Below are 13,751 nucleotides of genomic sequence, written 5' to 3' on the forward strand. Positions count from 1 at the left end.
CTCTGTCTCTATAAAAAATTTAAAAATTAGCTGGGCATGGTGGTGCTTACCTGTGGTCTCAGATACTTGGGAGGCTGAGACGGGAGGATCACTTGAGCCCAGGAGGTAGAGGCTGCAGTGAGCGATGTTTATGTCACTGTGCTCCAGCCTGGGCAGCAAAGGGAGATCCTGTCTTAAAAAAAAAAACTGGGCTGTAAAATCGAGCTTGTGTCTGTAATCCCAGCACTTTGGGAGGCTAAGGCGGGTGATCATCTGAGGTCAGGACTTCGAGACCAGCCTGGCCAACATGGTGAAACCCTGTGCTACTAAAAATACAAAAATTAGCCGGGCATGGTGGCAGGTGCCTGTAATCCCAGCTACTAGGGAGGCTGAGGCACAAGAATTGCTTGAACCTGAGAGGCAGAGGTTGCAGTGAGCCAAGATCGCATGACTGCACTCCAGCCTGGGCAACAAGAGCAAAACTCCGTGTCAAAAAAAAAAAAAAAATTGTCAGTCACTCTTATGTCCTAACAGAATGTATTCAGTATTCAATTAAAAGACATTTTGGTTCAAAAAAATTAAAATTTAAAAAATTAGCCTGACAACATGGTCAAACTCCATCTTTACAAAAAATAAAAAAATTAGCCTGGCATGGTGGTGTACACCTGTTGTCCCAGCTACTCAGGAGTCTGAAGTGGGAGGATCTCTTGAGCCTGGGAGGTGGAGGTTGCATTGAGCCAAGATTTTGCCACTGCACTCCAGCCTGAGCAACAGAGAGAGACCCTGTCTCAAAAAAAAATTATTTTTTAATTAAAAATCAATACAAGAAATGGTTGAAAAAGGAGAAAGCTACTGACCAATATTTTAATAAACATAGATACAAAATCCTCACCAAAATACTAGCAAACTGTATCCACCAATATATAAAAAGGATTAAACAATATGATCAAATGTGATAGAATACAAGGTTGGTTCAACATCTGAAAATCAATTAATGTAATACATTGAATCAATAGAATGGACAAAAACTGCATGATAATCTCAATACGGAAAATGTATTTGACAAAACTCAATACTCCTTCTTGATAAAAATACTCAACAAACTGGGAAATGAATACCACCCATTCCTACCATAACTGATGAATATTCAGTGGATCATTTATGTTTTGTGCCTGCAGTTATTTACCTATTCCTTTGTAAAACACACTTGGTCGCAATTTCTTCTAAAGAGCACAACAAGGCCTATCTTTATCTAAACATCCTAAAAACACTCAGGAGTGAGTCATTTACACAAAGCACATTAAATATACTGGCAATTTTACTCTGAGCATCAGAATAAAGAAGGAGCTTAGAAAATTGCTTCAGTTCAGGCCGGGTGCGGTGGCTCACGCCTGTAATCCCAGCACTTTGGGAGGCCGAGGCGGGCAGATCACGAGGTCAGGAGATTGAGACCATCCTGACTAACATGGTGAAACCGCATCTCTATTAAAAACACAAAAAATTAGCTGGGCATGGTGGCAGGTGCCTGTAGTCCCAGCTACTCGGGAGGCTGAGGCAGGAGAATGGCGTGAACCTGGGAGGCAGAGCTTGCAGTGAGCCGAGATCACGCCACTGCACTCCAGCCTGGGTGACAGAGCGAGACTCCATCTCAAAAAAAAAAAAAAAAAAAAAAAGAAAGAAAATTGCTTCAGTTCATCAAAAATGAAATGCAAGTTTGCAAGTTATGATGAAGGAAGCTCAAGTAAGGGCAAAACACAGACCAAGGAGTTGGAAGGATGGCTGGGTGCAGTGGCTCTGGCCTGTAATGCCAGCACTTTGGGAGGCTGAGGCAGAAGGATTGCTTGAGCCCAGGAGTTCAAGAGCAGCCTGGGCAACAAACTGAGACCCCATGTCTACAAAAATAAAAATGAGGCTGGGCGCAGTGGCTCACGCCTGTAATCCCAGCATTTTGGGAGGTCGAGGTGGGAGGATCACAAGGTCAGGAGATCCAGACCATCCTGGCTAACACGGTGAAACCCTGTCTCTACTAAAACTACAAAAAATTAGCCGGGCGTGGTGGCGGGCACCTGTAGTCCCAGCTACTCCGGAGGCTGAGGCAGGAGAATGACGCGAACACGGGAGGCGGAGCTTGCAGTGAGCTGAGATTGCACCACTGCACTCCAGCCTGGGCGACAGAGCAAGACTCCGTCTCAAAAAATAAAAATAATAAAATAAATAAATAAATAAAATAAAAATGAAAAAATTAGCCATGCATGGCAGCATGTGCCTTTAGCCCCAGCTCCTTGGGAGGCCGGGCAGGAGGATAGCGAGAGCCCAGGTGTTCGAGGCTATAGTGAGCTATGATCACATCACTGCACTGAAGCCTGGGCAACAGAGCAACACCCTTTCTCTAAAAAAAAAAAGAGTTGGAAGGAACCTTAGTGATCACTGAGTTCAAACTCTTACCCTGAGCACCAATCTACTTAGACCTCAGCCAATCTCTAAAAGGTAATATACAAGTAGGCTATTTTAACCTTTGAATCTAGTCACTTGCTCAACAAAATTTTTTTTTCTTAGGAGACAGGGTCTGTCTCTGACCCAGGCTGAAGTTCAATGTCACGATCACAGTCCACTGCAGCCTCGACCGTCCTCCTATCTCAGCCTTCCGAGCAGTTGGGACCACGGGTGTGTACCACCACACCAAGCTAATTTTGTTTATTTTTTGTAGAGACAGGTCTCGAACCTTGCTATGTTGCCAAGACTGGTCTCAAACTACTGGCCTCAACCTATCCTCTTGTCTTGGCCTCCCAAAGCATTGGGATTACAGGCGTGAGCCACCACATCCAGCCCTGCTGCAAGGTTCTTAACTGGGGGTCCACGGACCTTCTGGATAGAATTCAGGGAAATTTGACATTTCCTTCAATTATGACTGTAGGCAAACATTCTGTTTCTACCACATGCCTGCTATGCCTGTCCTAATCCTTGACTCTCTAAAGTCATGAACCCTATTAGATTTCAACTACCCTCATATAGTAGGTGTTCAGTATTCCTCCAAATGTTCTAAATAAAAACTTAGTAGAATGGGCCAGTACAATGAACAGAGTTGTAATTGGTTTGAAGAATCCAAGATCAGGACTGTGGTAGGAACAGAAGGAAACTTGTTCCAAGTCTGTGAGAAATTTGCCCCAGGTCCAATCCCACAACCTGTTCCAATCCAGTTTCATTTGTCATTCTCACTTATGACTAATGAATTTGCTTCCATGACGGAAAACATTAAGAAATCACTCTGGCATGAGGTCACCCTACAAAGGAGCAATCTCAGCTGCCCGGAATGTCAGCGTTCAGTAAGGGCCACACCCCTTGCCTTTTCAGTAATTCCTCCTATTACAAAATTCCAAATGCAGCCATATTGTTGATAGGAAATTTTGTTTAAAAAATACATTTCTTAGGCCGGGCGCGGTAGCTCGTGCCTGTAATCCCAGCACTTTGGGAGGCTGAGGTGGCGGATCACAAGGTCAGGAGTTCAAGACCAGCCTGGCCAACATGGTGAAACCCCATCTCTACTAAAAATACAAAAAAATTATCCAGGCATGGTGGCATGCACTTGCAGTCCCAGCTACTAGGGAGGCTGTGGCAGGAGAATCGCTTGAACCTGGGAGGCAGAGGTTGCAGTGAGCTGAGATTGCGCCACTGAGATTGCGCCACTGCACTCCAGCCTGGGTGACGGAGCGAGACTCCATCTCATAAATAAATAAATAAATAATTTTTTTGCGGAACGTGGTGGTTCGTGGTTATAATTCTGACACTGTGGGAGGCTAAGGCGGGTGGATCTCCTGAGCCCAGGAGTTAAAGACCAGCCTGGGTAATGTAGGGAGACCCCATCACAATGAAAATTATTAACATAAGCTAGGTGTGGTGACACATGCCTGTTGTCCCTGCTATTTAAGAGGTTGAGGTAGGAGGATTGTTTGAGCCCAGGAGGTCGAGTACCCTAGCCTGGACAACAGAGTGAAACCCTATCTCGAGAAAACACACACACACACACACAAATCCCACATTTCTTTTCTTTCTTTTTTTTTTTTTTTTTTTTTTTGAGATGGAGTCTCGCTCTGTTGCCCAGACTGGAGTGCAGTGGCGTGATCTTGGCTCACTGCAACCTGCGCCTCTCAGGTTCAAGCGATTCTCCTGCCTCAGCCTCCTGAGTAGCTGGGATTACTCCTTCTCAAATTAAAAAAAAAAAAATTTTAAGGGGGAAATAAGGCTGGGAGCAGTGGCTCACACCTGTAATCCCAGCACTTTGGGAGGCCGAAGTGGGTGGATCGCCTGAGGTCAGGAGTTCGAGACCAGCCTGGCCAACATGGCAAAACCCTGTCTCTACTAAAAATACAAAAATTAGCTAGGCATGGTGGTGGGCGCCTGTAATCCCGGCTACTCGGGAGGCTGAGGCACGAGGATAGCTTGAACTTGGGAGGCGGAGGTTGCAGTGAGCCAAGATCGCATCACTGCACTCCAGCTTGGGTGACGGAGTGAGACTCTGTCTCGGGAAAAAAAAAAAGCGGGGGTGAAATACATTTTATTTAGTTTTTGGTCTCATAAAGACAGGTACACAAGTATGGCACAGTGGCTCATGGCTGTAATCCCAGCACTTTGGGAAGAAAATATTATTAAAATAAAAGTTATTTTTACTTTTGTAGAGCGGGGCTTCACCATGTTGCCCAGGCTGTCCTGAACTCCTGAGCTCAAGCAGTCCTCCTGCTCCTGTGAGCCACTGTGCCTGGCCTGCACTTAACATTTTTTTTTTTTTTGAGAGGGAGTCTCACTCTGTCGCCCAGGCTGGAGTGGAGTGGCGCAATCTCAGCTCACTGCAAGCTCCGCCTCCCAGGTTCAAGCCATTCTCCTGCCTCAGTCTCCCGAGTAGCTGGAACTACAGGTGCCCGCCACCACGCCCGGCTAATTTTTGGTATTTTTAGTAGAGTCAGGGTTTCACCATGTTAGCCAGGATGGTCTCGATCTCCTGACCTCGTGATCCGCCCGCCTCGGCCTCCCAAGGTGCTGGGATTACAGGCGTGAGCCACCAAGCCCGGTGCACTTAACATTTTTAAAGGTAAACCTTTTAGTACTGTGGAAATGTGTGCATAGGATGCAGTCCTAGATGATGACGCCGGGCACGGTGGCTCACGCCTGTAATCCCAGCAATTTGGGAGGGAGAGGCGGGCAGATCACTTGAGGTCAGGAGTTCTAGACCAGCCTGGCCAACATGTTGAAACCTCATGACTACTAAAAATAAAAAAATTAGCCAGGCATGGTGGCGGGGGCCTGTAATCCCAGCTACTCAGGAGGCTGAGGCAGAATTGCTTGAATCAGGGAAAGGGAGGTTGCAGTGAGCTGAGACTGGGCCACTGCACTCCAACCTGGGTGACAGAGTGAGACTCCGTCTCAAAAGAAAAAAAAAAAAAAGAATTCAGGGCAAGTCCATAAAGTGAAAGGCAGTTTATTAGGAAAGAATGGCTGTTCCATAGGCAGAGCAGCCCCAGGGCTGCTGGTTGCCCATTTTTATGGTTATTTCTTGATGATATGCCAAACAAGGGGTGAATTATTCTTGCCTCCCCGTTTTAGACCATATAGGGTAACTTCCTAATGTCGCCATGGCATTTGTAAACTGTCATGGTACTGATGGGAGTCTAGCATTGAGGACAACCAGAGATCACTGTCGTGGCCATCGTGGTTTTGGTGGGTTTTAGCTGGCTACTTTACTGCAACCTGTTTTATCAGCAAGGTCTTTATGACACGTATCTTGTGCTGACCTCCTATCTCATCCTGTGACTTAGAATGCCTAATCATCTAGGAATGCAGCCCAGTAGGTCTCAGCCTCATTTTACCCAGCCTCTATACGAGATAGAGTCGCTCTGGTTTAAACGTCTCTGACACAAGCAACTTGCGTACTAAAGGTTGTTACAACACCCTTGCTGGTTTTGCCTGCTAATGATAATCCACAAATTCTAAAGATTTACCTAGAGAGGGCTGGGCACGGTGGCTCACTTTGTAATCCCAGCAATTTGGGAGGCCAAGGCGGGCGGATCACGAGGTCGGGAGATCGAGACCATCCTGGCTAACATGGTGAAACTCTGTCTCCTTTTTTTTTTTTTTTTTTTTTTTTTTTTGGAGACAGAGTCTCGCTCTGTCACCCAGGCTGGAGTGCGGTGGCGCTATCTCGGCTCACTGCAAGCTCCGCCTCCTGGGCTCACGCCATTCTCCTGCCTCAGCCTCCCAAGCAGCTGGGACGACAGGCGCCCGCCACCACGCCCGGCTAATTTTTTTTATTTTTAGTAGAGACGGGGTTTCACCGCGTTAGCCAGGATGGTCTCTATCTCCTGACCTTGTGATCCGCCCGCCTCGGCCTCCCAAAGTCACGCCTGGGACTACAGGTGTGAGCCACCGTGCCCGGCCAATGAAACCCTGTCTCTACCAAAAATACAAAAAATTAGCCGGGCGTGGTGGCGGGCGCCTGTAGTCCCAGCTACTTGGGAGGCAGAGGCAGGAGAATGGCATGAACCCGGGAGGCGGAGCTTGTAGTGAGCCGAGATTGCTCCACTGCACTCCAGCCTGGGCGACAGAGCGAGACTCCATCTCCAAAAAAAAAAAAAAAAAAAAAAAAAAAAAATTTACCTAGAGGGAAAAAAAGTAAAAAAACCCCAATTCAAGACAGAAAAAAGCAAAATGATTCCAGCCGAGAACTTGAAGAATAAAATCAACCAGGAGGACGCTTCATGTTAGTAGAAAGTGGACGGCATTTTCACCATGTAAGGAAATGTGACCTTTTGAAAAAAGAACGAGGTCGTTTTCTATTTTAATAAGGGCAGTTCCTTCTTTCCACTTACCTGCTTCTAGGAGACAACAACAAAGAGCTGGCCTTGTTTTAGCAACCTGCACTGCAGTTTACATTCCCTTTAACCCAAGACAAAGATTAAAGAGATATCCCCACCCCTGCTCCAAGTCAATCTTGAAGGACAAACGTCTGGTTCTTACCTCATCTACCCACACCTGGAACCTGTCATGGCATGGGCAAGTTGAAACAGTAACTTGTTCCTCCACCCAACAGTCTTGCAATACTCCAAAACAGCAAACAATACTTCTTTATTTTATTACTTTAATTAATTAATTTATTTTTTGAGACGGAGTATTGCTCTTGTTGCCCAGGCTGGAATGCAATGGTGGGATCTCGGCTCACCGCAACCTCTGCATCCCGACTTCAGATGATTCTCCTCCCTCAGCCTCTCGAGTAGCTGGGATTACAGGCATGTACCACCACGCCTGGCTAATTTTTTTTTTTTTTTTTTTAGTAGAGATGGGGTTTCTCCATGTTGGTCAGGCTGGTCTTGAACTCCCGACCTCAGGTGATCTGCCCGCCTCAGCCTCCCAGAGTGCTGGGATTACAGGCGTGAGCCAAAGCACCCGGCCAACAATATATTTTTAAAATGGGGCACCTGCCGGCCGGACGCGGTGGCTCATGCCTGTAATCCCAGCACTTTGGGAGGCCGAGGCGGGCAGATCACGGGGTCAGAAGATCGAGACCATCCTGGCTAACACAGTGAAACCCTGTCTCTACTAAAAATACAAAAAAAATAGCCGGGCGTGGTGGCGGGCGCCTGTAGTCCCCGCTAGTCGGGAGGCTGAGGCAGGAATATGTCATGAACCCGGGAGGCGGAGCTTGCAGTGAGCCAAGATAGCGCCACTGCACTCCAGCCTGGGCGACAGAGCGAGACTCCGTCTCAAAAATAAAATAAAATAAATAAAAATAATAAATAAATAAATAAATAGGGCACCCGCTCGAGGCAATTACTTCCTGCTTTATGCGCTCCCTCCCATAAATGGTCTCCTCTGTTCAGTTCATTCAGACTTCTGCTTTAGGAATTATCTTCTTAAAAAACCACTTGGAGGAGGGCGCTCTCCACTGAAAGATCTTTAGCAGACTCTTTTCCCTAATAAAATTCAGACCACAGAGCAAAGCAATCCAGAGTTCTTAGCATCAATGAATACGCCGCTCTTAATTTAAAACTTTTTTTTACCATTCTGCATTTCTTGAGCGTTCCTGCTTCTTCTTCACTGTTTTCTATACATTTCCGTTTTATTTATTTATTTATTTTTTGAGACGGAGTCTTGCTCTGTCACCCAGGCTGGAGTGCAGTGGCACAATCTCGGCTCACTGCAAGCTCCGCCTCCCTGGTTCATGCCGTTCTCCTGCCTCAGCCTCCTAAGTAGCTGGGACTACAGGCGCCCGCCACCATGCCCAGCCAATTTTTTTTGTATTTTTAGTAGAGACGAGGTTTCACCAAGTTAGCCAGGATGGTCTCGATCTCCTAACCTCGTGATCCACCCGCCTCGGCCTTCCAAAGTGCTGGGATTACAGGCGTGAGCCACCACATCCGGCCTTTCTATACATTTCAATGTGCATTTTTGTCTATGAATCCTCCTACCTACGCTTTAAGGATTAGTTCAATGGTTACCTATTTCCAGAAGTCTTCAAATACCCTCCAAATGAATAGTAAATCCAGTGGTCCGGAGAATTTGAAGTCAGTCCTCCACAGGTGATTCTCTCACCACCACAAAATGGCCCAAGTACCTTGCCTTCCTCTCATGGCTGCCAGCTGAATCGTATTGTAATTGAGAGGGAACCCTCTATTTTCTCCTGGTACTGGATAAGCTCCTTAAAGGCAGATTCCAGCACTTTTTTTCCCCCTCGAGACAGAGTCTCACTGTCGCCCAGGCTGGAGTGCAGTGGCCTGATCTCTGCTCTCTGCAGCCTCCGCCTCCCGGGTTCAAGTGATTTCTGTGCCTCAGCCTCCTGAGTGGCTGGGACTACAGGTATGCACCACCATACCTGGCTAATTTTTGTGTTTTTAGTAGAGATGGGGGTTTCACCATGTTGGCCAGGCTGGTCCCAAACCCCTGGCCTCAAGCAATATGCCTGCCTTGGCTTCCCAAAGTGCTGGGATTACAGGCATGAGCCACCGTGCTGGGCCACAGTATTTTTTCTTTTCTTTTCTTTTTTTTTTGAGATGGAGTCTTGCTCTGTCACCCAGGCTGGAGTGCAGTGGCACGATCTCGGCTCACTGAAAGCTCTGCCTCCTGGGTTCACGCCATTCTCCTGCCTCAGTCTCCCGAGTAGCTGGGACTACAGGCGCCCACCGCCACGCCCAGCTATTTAAAATTTTTTTTTTTTTTTAGTAGAGACAGGGTTTCACTGTGTTGGCCAGGATGGTCTCGATCTCCTGACCTCGTGATCCACCTTTTTAATGCGGAAAAGCACACTGAAGAACATTTATCAGAAGTATGTCCTCAGTAAGTGGCTGAACAGGCTGAGTGTGGTGGCTCACACCTGTAATCCCAGCTACTCTGGAGGCTGAGGCAGGAGAATCACTTGAACTTGGGAGGTGGAGGCTGTAGTGAGCTGTGATCATGCCACTGTACTCCAGCCTGGGTGACAGAGCGAGACCCTGTCCCCCACTCAACACCCCCCAAAAATTGAACAAATGAAATAGCCCATTTTTTGAGAATCAGTGCTTTTGGCTGGGCGCCCGGTGGCTCACACTTATAATCCCAGCACTGTGGGAGGCAAGAGGTGGGCAGATCACCTGAGGTCGGGAGTTCGAGACCAGCCTGACCAACATGAAGAAACCCCGTCTCTACTAAAAATACAAAATTAGCCGGGTGTGTGGCACATGACTGTAATCCCAGCTATTTGGGAGGCTGAGGCAGGAGAATCACTTGAACCCGGGAGGCGGAGCTTGCAGTGAGCCAAGATTGTGCCACTGCACTCCAGCCTCGGCAACAGAGCAAGACTCTGTATCAAAAAAAAAAAAAAAAAAAAAAAAAGAATCAGTGCTTTTGTAGAGCTTTTGACAAGGAGGCAGTACAGCAGTTAAGAGCACAGATACGGGGGTCAGAGAGATCTAGATTTAGATTTACTAGGTTGTGTATCAGCTGTGTGTTTTAGTATGTGTGTATTTAGCTGTGTGTATTTCCTCTCAACAATGAGGTTAACAATGCCTACCCAATGTGGTGACGGTGAAAATGGGGTAATGCACAAAAATACCTTAACACGATGTCTGGTAAATGGCAAAGAGATAACTATTAAGAGACCTCTGGTATTCACAGGTGACTCTACTAATGCAGTACTTCTTAAAGGGACATTTAAACAACTACTGCTCTGATTTAGGGAATAGTCAAGTCTTTAGTTGAACACTCACCTTAAGAACCACTTCTGGAATGTCGACAAGTTCCTTTAACCTCTCTCTGCCTCCCTTTCCTTACTTCCAAGTGGTGATAATAATTTGCCTGACAGAAATGCTGAGCGAGATCAGGTTAAAAACACTATGTAAACAACTGTAAAGGATTGCTTTTATTTTGAACTTAAGCTGAGGAAAAGAAGCCAAAAGTATTTTAAATTTTATTCTATTTCTAGCACATTCTGTGAGGGCTTTAAAAAGAAATTTCTCTCTTTATAATTTTCCTTTCCTTTATTCTTTACAGAACAGTAAATTCTGATTACTCAAGTTCTCAAAAATGAAAGCTATATCTGGAATGTTTCTATTTTGCTCCCCCTGTTGGCCTGAGAGCAGGATAACACTGCCTGAGACTAACAATTCAAGACGATCTAAACATTTATTTTCATGGACTTGACTAATATAAAGATGTAATGGCATTCCACAGAAAGACCTAAACCACAGTTTCAGCTCTATCTTATATATATACCTGACAATTAAAAGCAGTATGTTTATGTTTAATTTTTAATTTTTAACTATTAGGGTTCAAATCTAGAAAATTATTTTTATACAAAGGCTAGCTGCATGCCATTCATTTTTCAAAATAATTACTTTTCAAAAATTCTGCTGTTTCTATATTTAAGGCTGAAATCCACTGAAAACACCCAAACTTGCAATTCCTATCATTATTTTTGTTTTGCTACCACTGATTTTTACAATTTACCTTTTTTTTTTTTTTTTTTTGAGATGGAGTTTTGCTCTTGTTGCCCAGGCTGGAGTGCAATGGCGCGACCTCGGCTCACTGCAACCTCCCACTCCCAGGTTCAAGTGATTCTCCTGCCTCAGCCTCCCGAGTAGCTGGGATTACAGGCATGTACCACCACACCTGGCTAATTTTTGTATTTATGTAGAGATGGGGTTTTGCCATGTTGGCCAGGCTGGTCTCGAACTCCTGACCTCAGGTGATCCTTCCTCCTTGGCCTCCCAAAGTGCTAGGATTATAAGCATGAGCCACCACGCCTGGCCAACAATTTACTTTTAAACTTAAAAGTTATATGCACCGGCCAGGTGAGGTGGCTTACGCCTGTAATCCCAGCACTTTGGGAGGCTGGGCGGGCAGATCACCTGAAGTCAGGAGGTCAAGACCAGCCTGACCCGACGTGGAGAAACCCCATCTCTACTAAAAATACGAAGTTAGCTGGGCGTGGTGGCACATGCCTGTAATCCCAGCTACTCCGGAGGCTGAGGCAGGAGAATCGCTTAAACTCGGGAGGCGGAGGTTGCGGTGAGCCGAGATTGTGCCATTGCACTCCAGCCTGGGCAACAAGAGTGAAACCCTTGTCTCAAAAAAAAAAAAGGTTATATACACTGATTTTACCTGTGAATCACTTTTTTGTATTCAAAGTCTTAGATTATGTATATGAAAACTAATTTATTAAACCTCTGTACACAAAGATGAACATACCTGTATAGCAAGCATATATGAAGGATGAAGTTACAAAAAAGTAAAAGTATTACTAAAATTGACACATGTAAATCACTTACAAAAATACCCCAAATGGGATAAAGCTGCTCATCCCTGATTTTTCTCATTTGGTTGTAGGAGTTGAAACATGAATTTAAAATGGTAGAATTTTTTCTTTTAAAAAGTGATATATTAAACTTATATACAGGATAATTAGCAAAATGTAGAAAGGGAAAACAATGTACAAAAGACAGATAAAAACCATCACTCTCGACGGATAGTCACAATCCAAAAATAGTATAAACCTTAACAAACCCTCTCTAAACCAGGTCATATTCACATCTCCCCCCAAGTTTTGTCAGTGAGAATAAAATATACTGAACTAGTGAGCTCAGTCTTTCTTTAAAATAGGCTTGACTTTGGAACATGAACCTTGGATAGATTTTTAAACATGGGAGGGACAAACAGGAAAACCATTCTATCTATCCACTTAATTAGTACTAATTAACGGAACAAAGTTATTAAATAGCTCTCAGTGCTAAGTCAAGCCATTATTCAGAGGCCTTTTTGTTTTTCTGCTGGTTTCGGGGTGAGTTCTTTAACAAGCTTCTTATCCTGAGGTACATTCCAGTAGATTCTGCCATATTCTCAAATTCAAATGGCGTGATTCCAGTTGCAAATTTGCTCATGTCAGGTATAGGGCTATGAATTTTAGTGGCCGTTGAAGGACTGGTGTCTGCAGGAAAGAGCTTCTGGCTGCCCCCATTGCTGATGTCACAGTTTGGTACGACACTGCCATTATCAAGAAGGGCACCTTCAGTGTTTACCGGAGCCAACTCTGCTTTTTCCTTCTGACAAAGTGATGTCACCTCAGAGTCTGGACTGGAGGCATGTCCAGCTTCTGATTTCTTTGTAAAAATCTCTGGTACCTCAGGCTCATCCAGCGTCTGCTTTTCAGATGTTTTTCCCTCCGGGACAGGGAGGTCTAGCTCATTTGGACAAGGTGATGAGGCAACGGAATTGCCAGTTAAAGGTGTGTCCACAGGAACGTCGGAGTCGCTGTTTACGCTCTCGGCCTGCTCAAGAGCTGCCCAGATCCGCCTCTGCTGTTCTTCAAGTTCTTCTAGAGTCAGTGCGTCCTCATCCACAGCTCCAGATGCTGTTCTGGTCTGGGGTGAGTCACTGGGAGTCAGCGGCGGGGTGCCCTTTGGGAGTGGAGGGGTGAAGACGGGTGGAGGAGTTCCCCGGGGGAGTGGAGGAGTGTCAGGAGGTAATGGTGGTTGAAACTGAAAACTTTCGCTGCTCTGAGAACCATGTGGTACCTCCATATCTGAAGTAAGAAAGTTAAGAGATACTTTAGAACTTATAATAGCATTTGGTTTTACTAAAATTTGTTATTTGAACTCAGGTGTATCCAGTAATTCAATGGCCAAAAATAACTGGCTTAACATGAGGGAAATTCTGGATTCTCAGGTGCCATTACCACCACCTGGTATCCTCAGTCCACCTGAAAAGATCTGCAGGGATAGCTGTCAGGATCTTCTGGTGCTAAAGGCTATCCCTCGGGAGATCTGTTTCTGTGCTGTGTGCATCATTTTAGATTGAGGAAATGCGAGCAATTGCATGGAGACTTCAGAATTTCAAGGCAGTGCACTCTACCCAAAAATTTGTGGCAGAATGCAGTAGGAAATTTGACTGGAGGTGCAGGCTGGTTACTGAGTGGGTGGAAGGCTAATGGGGAGGAAGTGAGGGGCAAGGCAGGAGTACACCTTGGGTTATTTCCTAGCTCTTTTTTTTTTTTTTTTTTTTGAGACAGTCTTACTCTGCCACCCAGGCTGGAGTGCAGTGGCACAATCTTAGCTCACTGTATCCTCCGTCTCCTGGGTTCAAGCAATTCTCCTGCCTCAGCCTCCCGAGTAGCTGCAATTACAGTTGTGCACCACCACGCCTGGCAAATTTTTGTATTTTTAGTAGAGACAGGGTTTCACCATGTTGGCCAGGCTGGTCTCGAACTCCTGACCTCAGGTGATCCACCTGCCTTGGCCTCCCAAAATGCTGGGATTATA

The 13,751-nt window shown here is 45.7% G+C and overlaps 1 protein-coding gene across 6 annotated transcripts in view, besides 1 other annotated feature; it reads right to left on the reverse strand.

Moving 5' to 3' along the window:
* Window positions 10,340-13,751, reverse strand: part of ZCCHC8 (zinc finger CCHC-type containing 8) — a 29,333-nt gene continuing 25,921 nt past the window's right edge. For all 6 annotated transcript variants that reach the window (NM_001350938.2, NM_001350935.2, NM_001350937.2 and 3 more), the window contains one exon: window positions 10,340-13,015. In NM_001350938.2, the coding sequence (NP_001337867.1) occupies window positions 12,237-13,015 (779 nt within the window). In that variant the 3' untranslated portion in view covers window positions 10,340-12,236. The remainder of the gene's footprint in view (window positions 13,016-13,751) is intronic.
* Window positions 12,792-12,841: an enhancer, noted in NCBI's record as "active region_7226". NCBI's record gives its function as "activates an Ori minimal core promoter by ATAC-STARR-seq in GM12878 lymphoblastoid cells {active_cell/tissue: GM12878}" and the evidence as "EXISTENCE:reporter gene assay evidence [ECO:0000049][PMID:35858748]".

This window comes from Homo sapiens, chromosome 12 (genome assembly GCF_000001405.40).
Source record: "Homo sapiens chromosome 12, GRCh38.p14 Primary Assembly".
In the NCBI taxonomy this organism is placed as follows: Eukaryota; Metazoa; Chordata; class Mammalia; order Primates; family Hominidae; genus Homo; species Homo sapiens.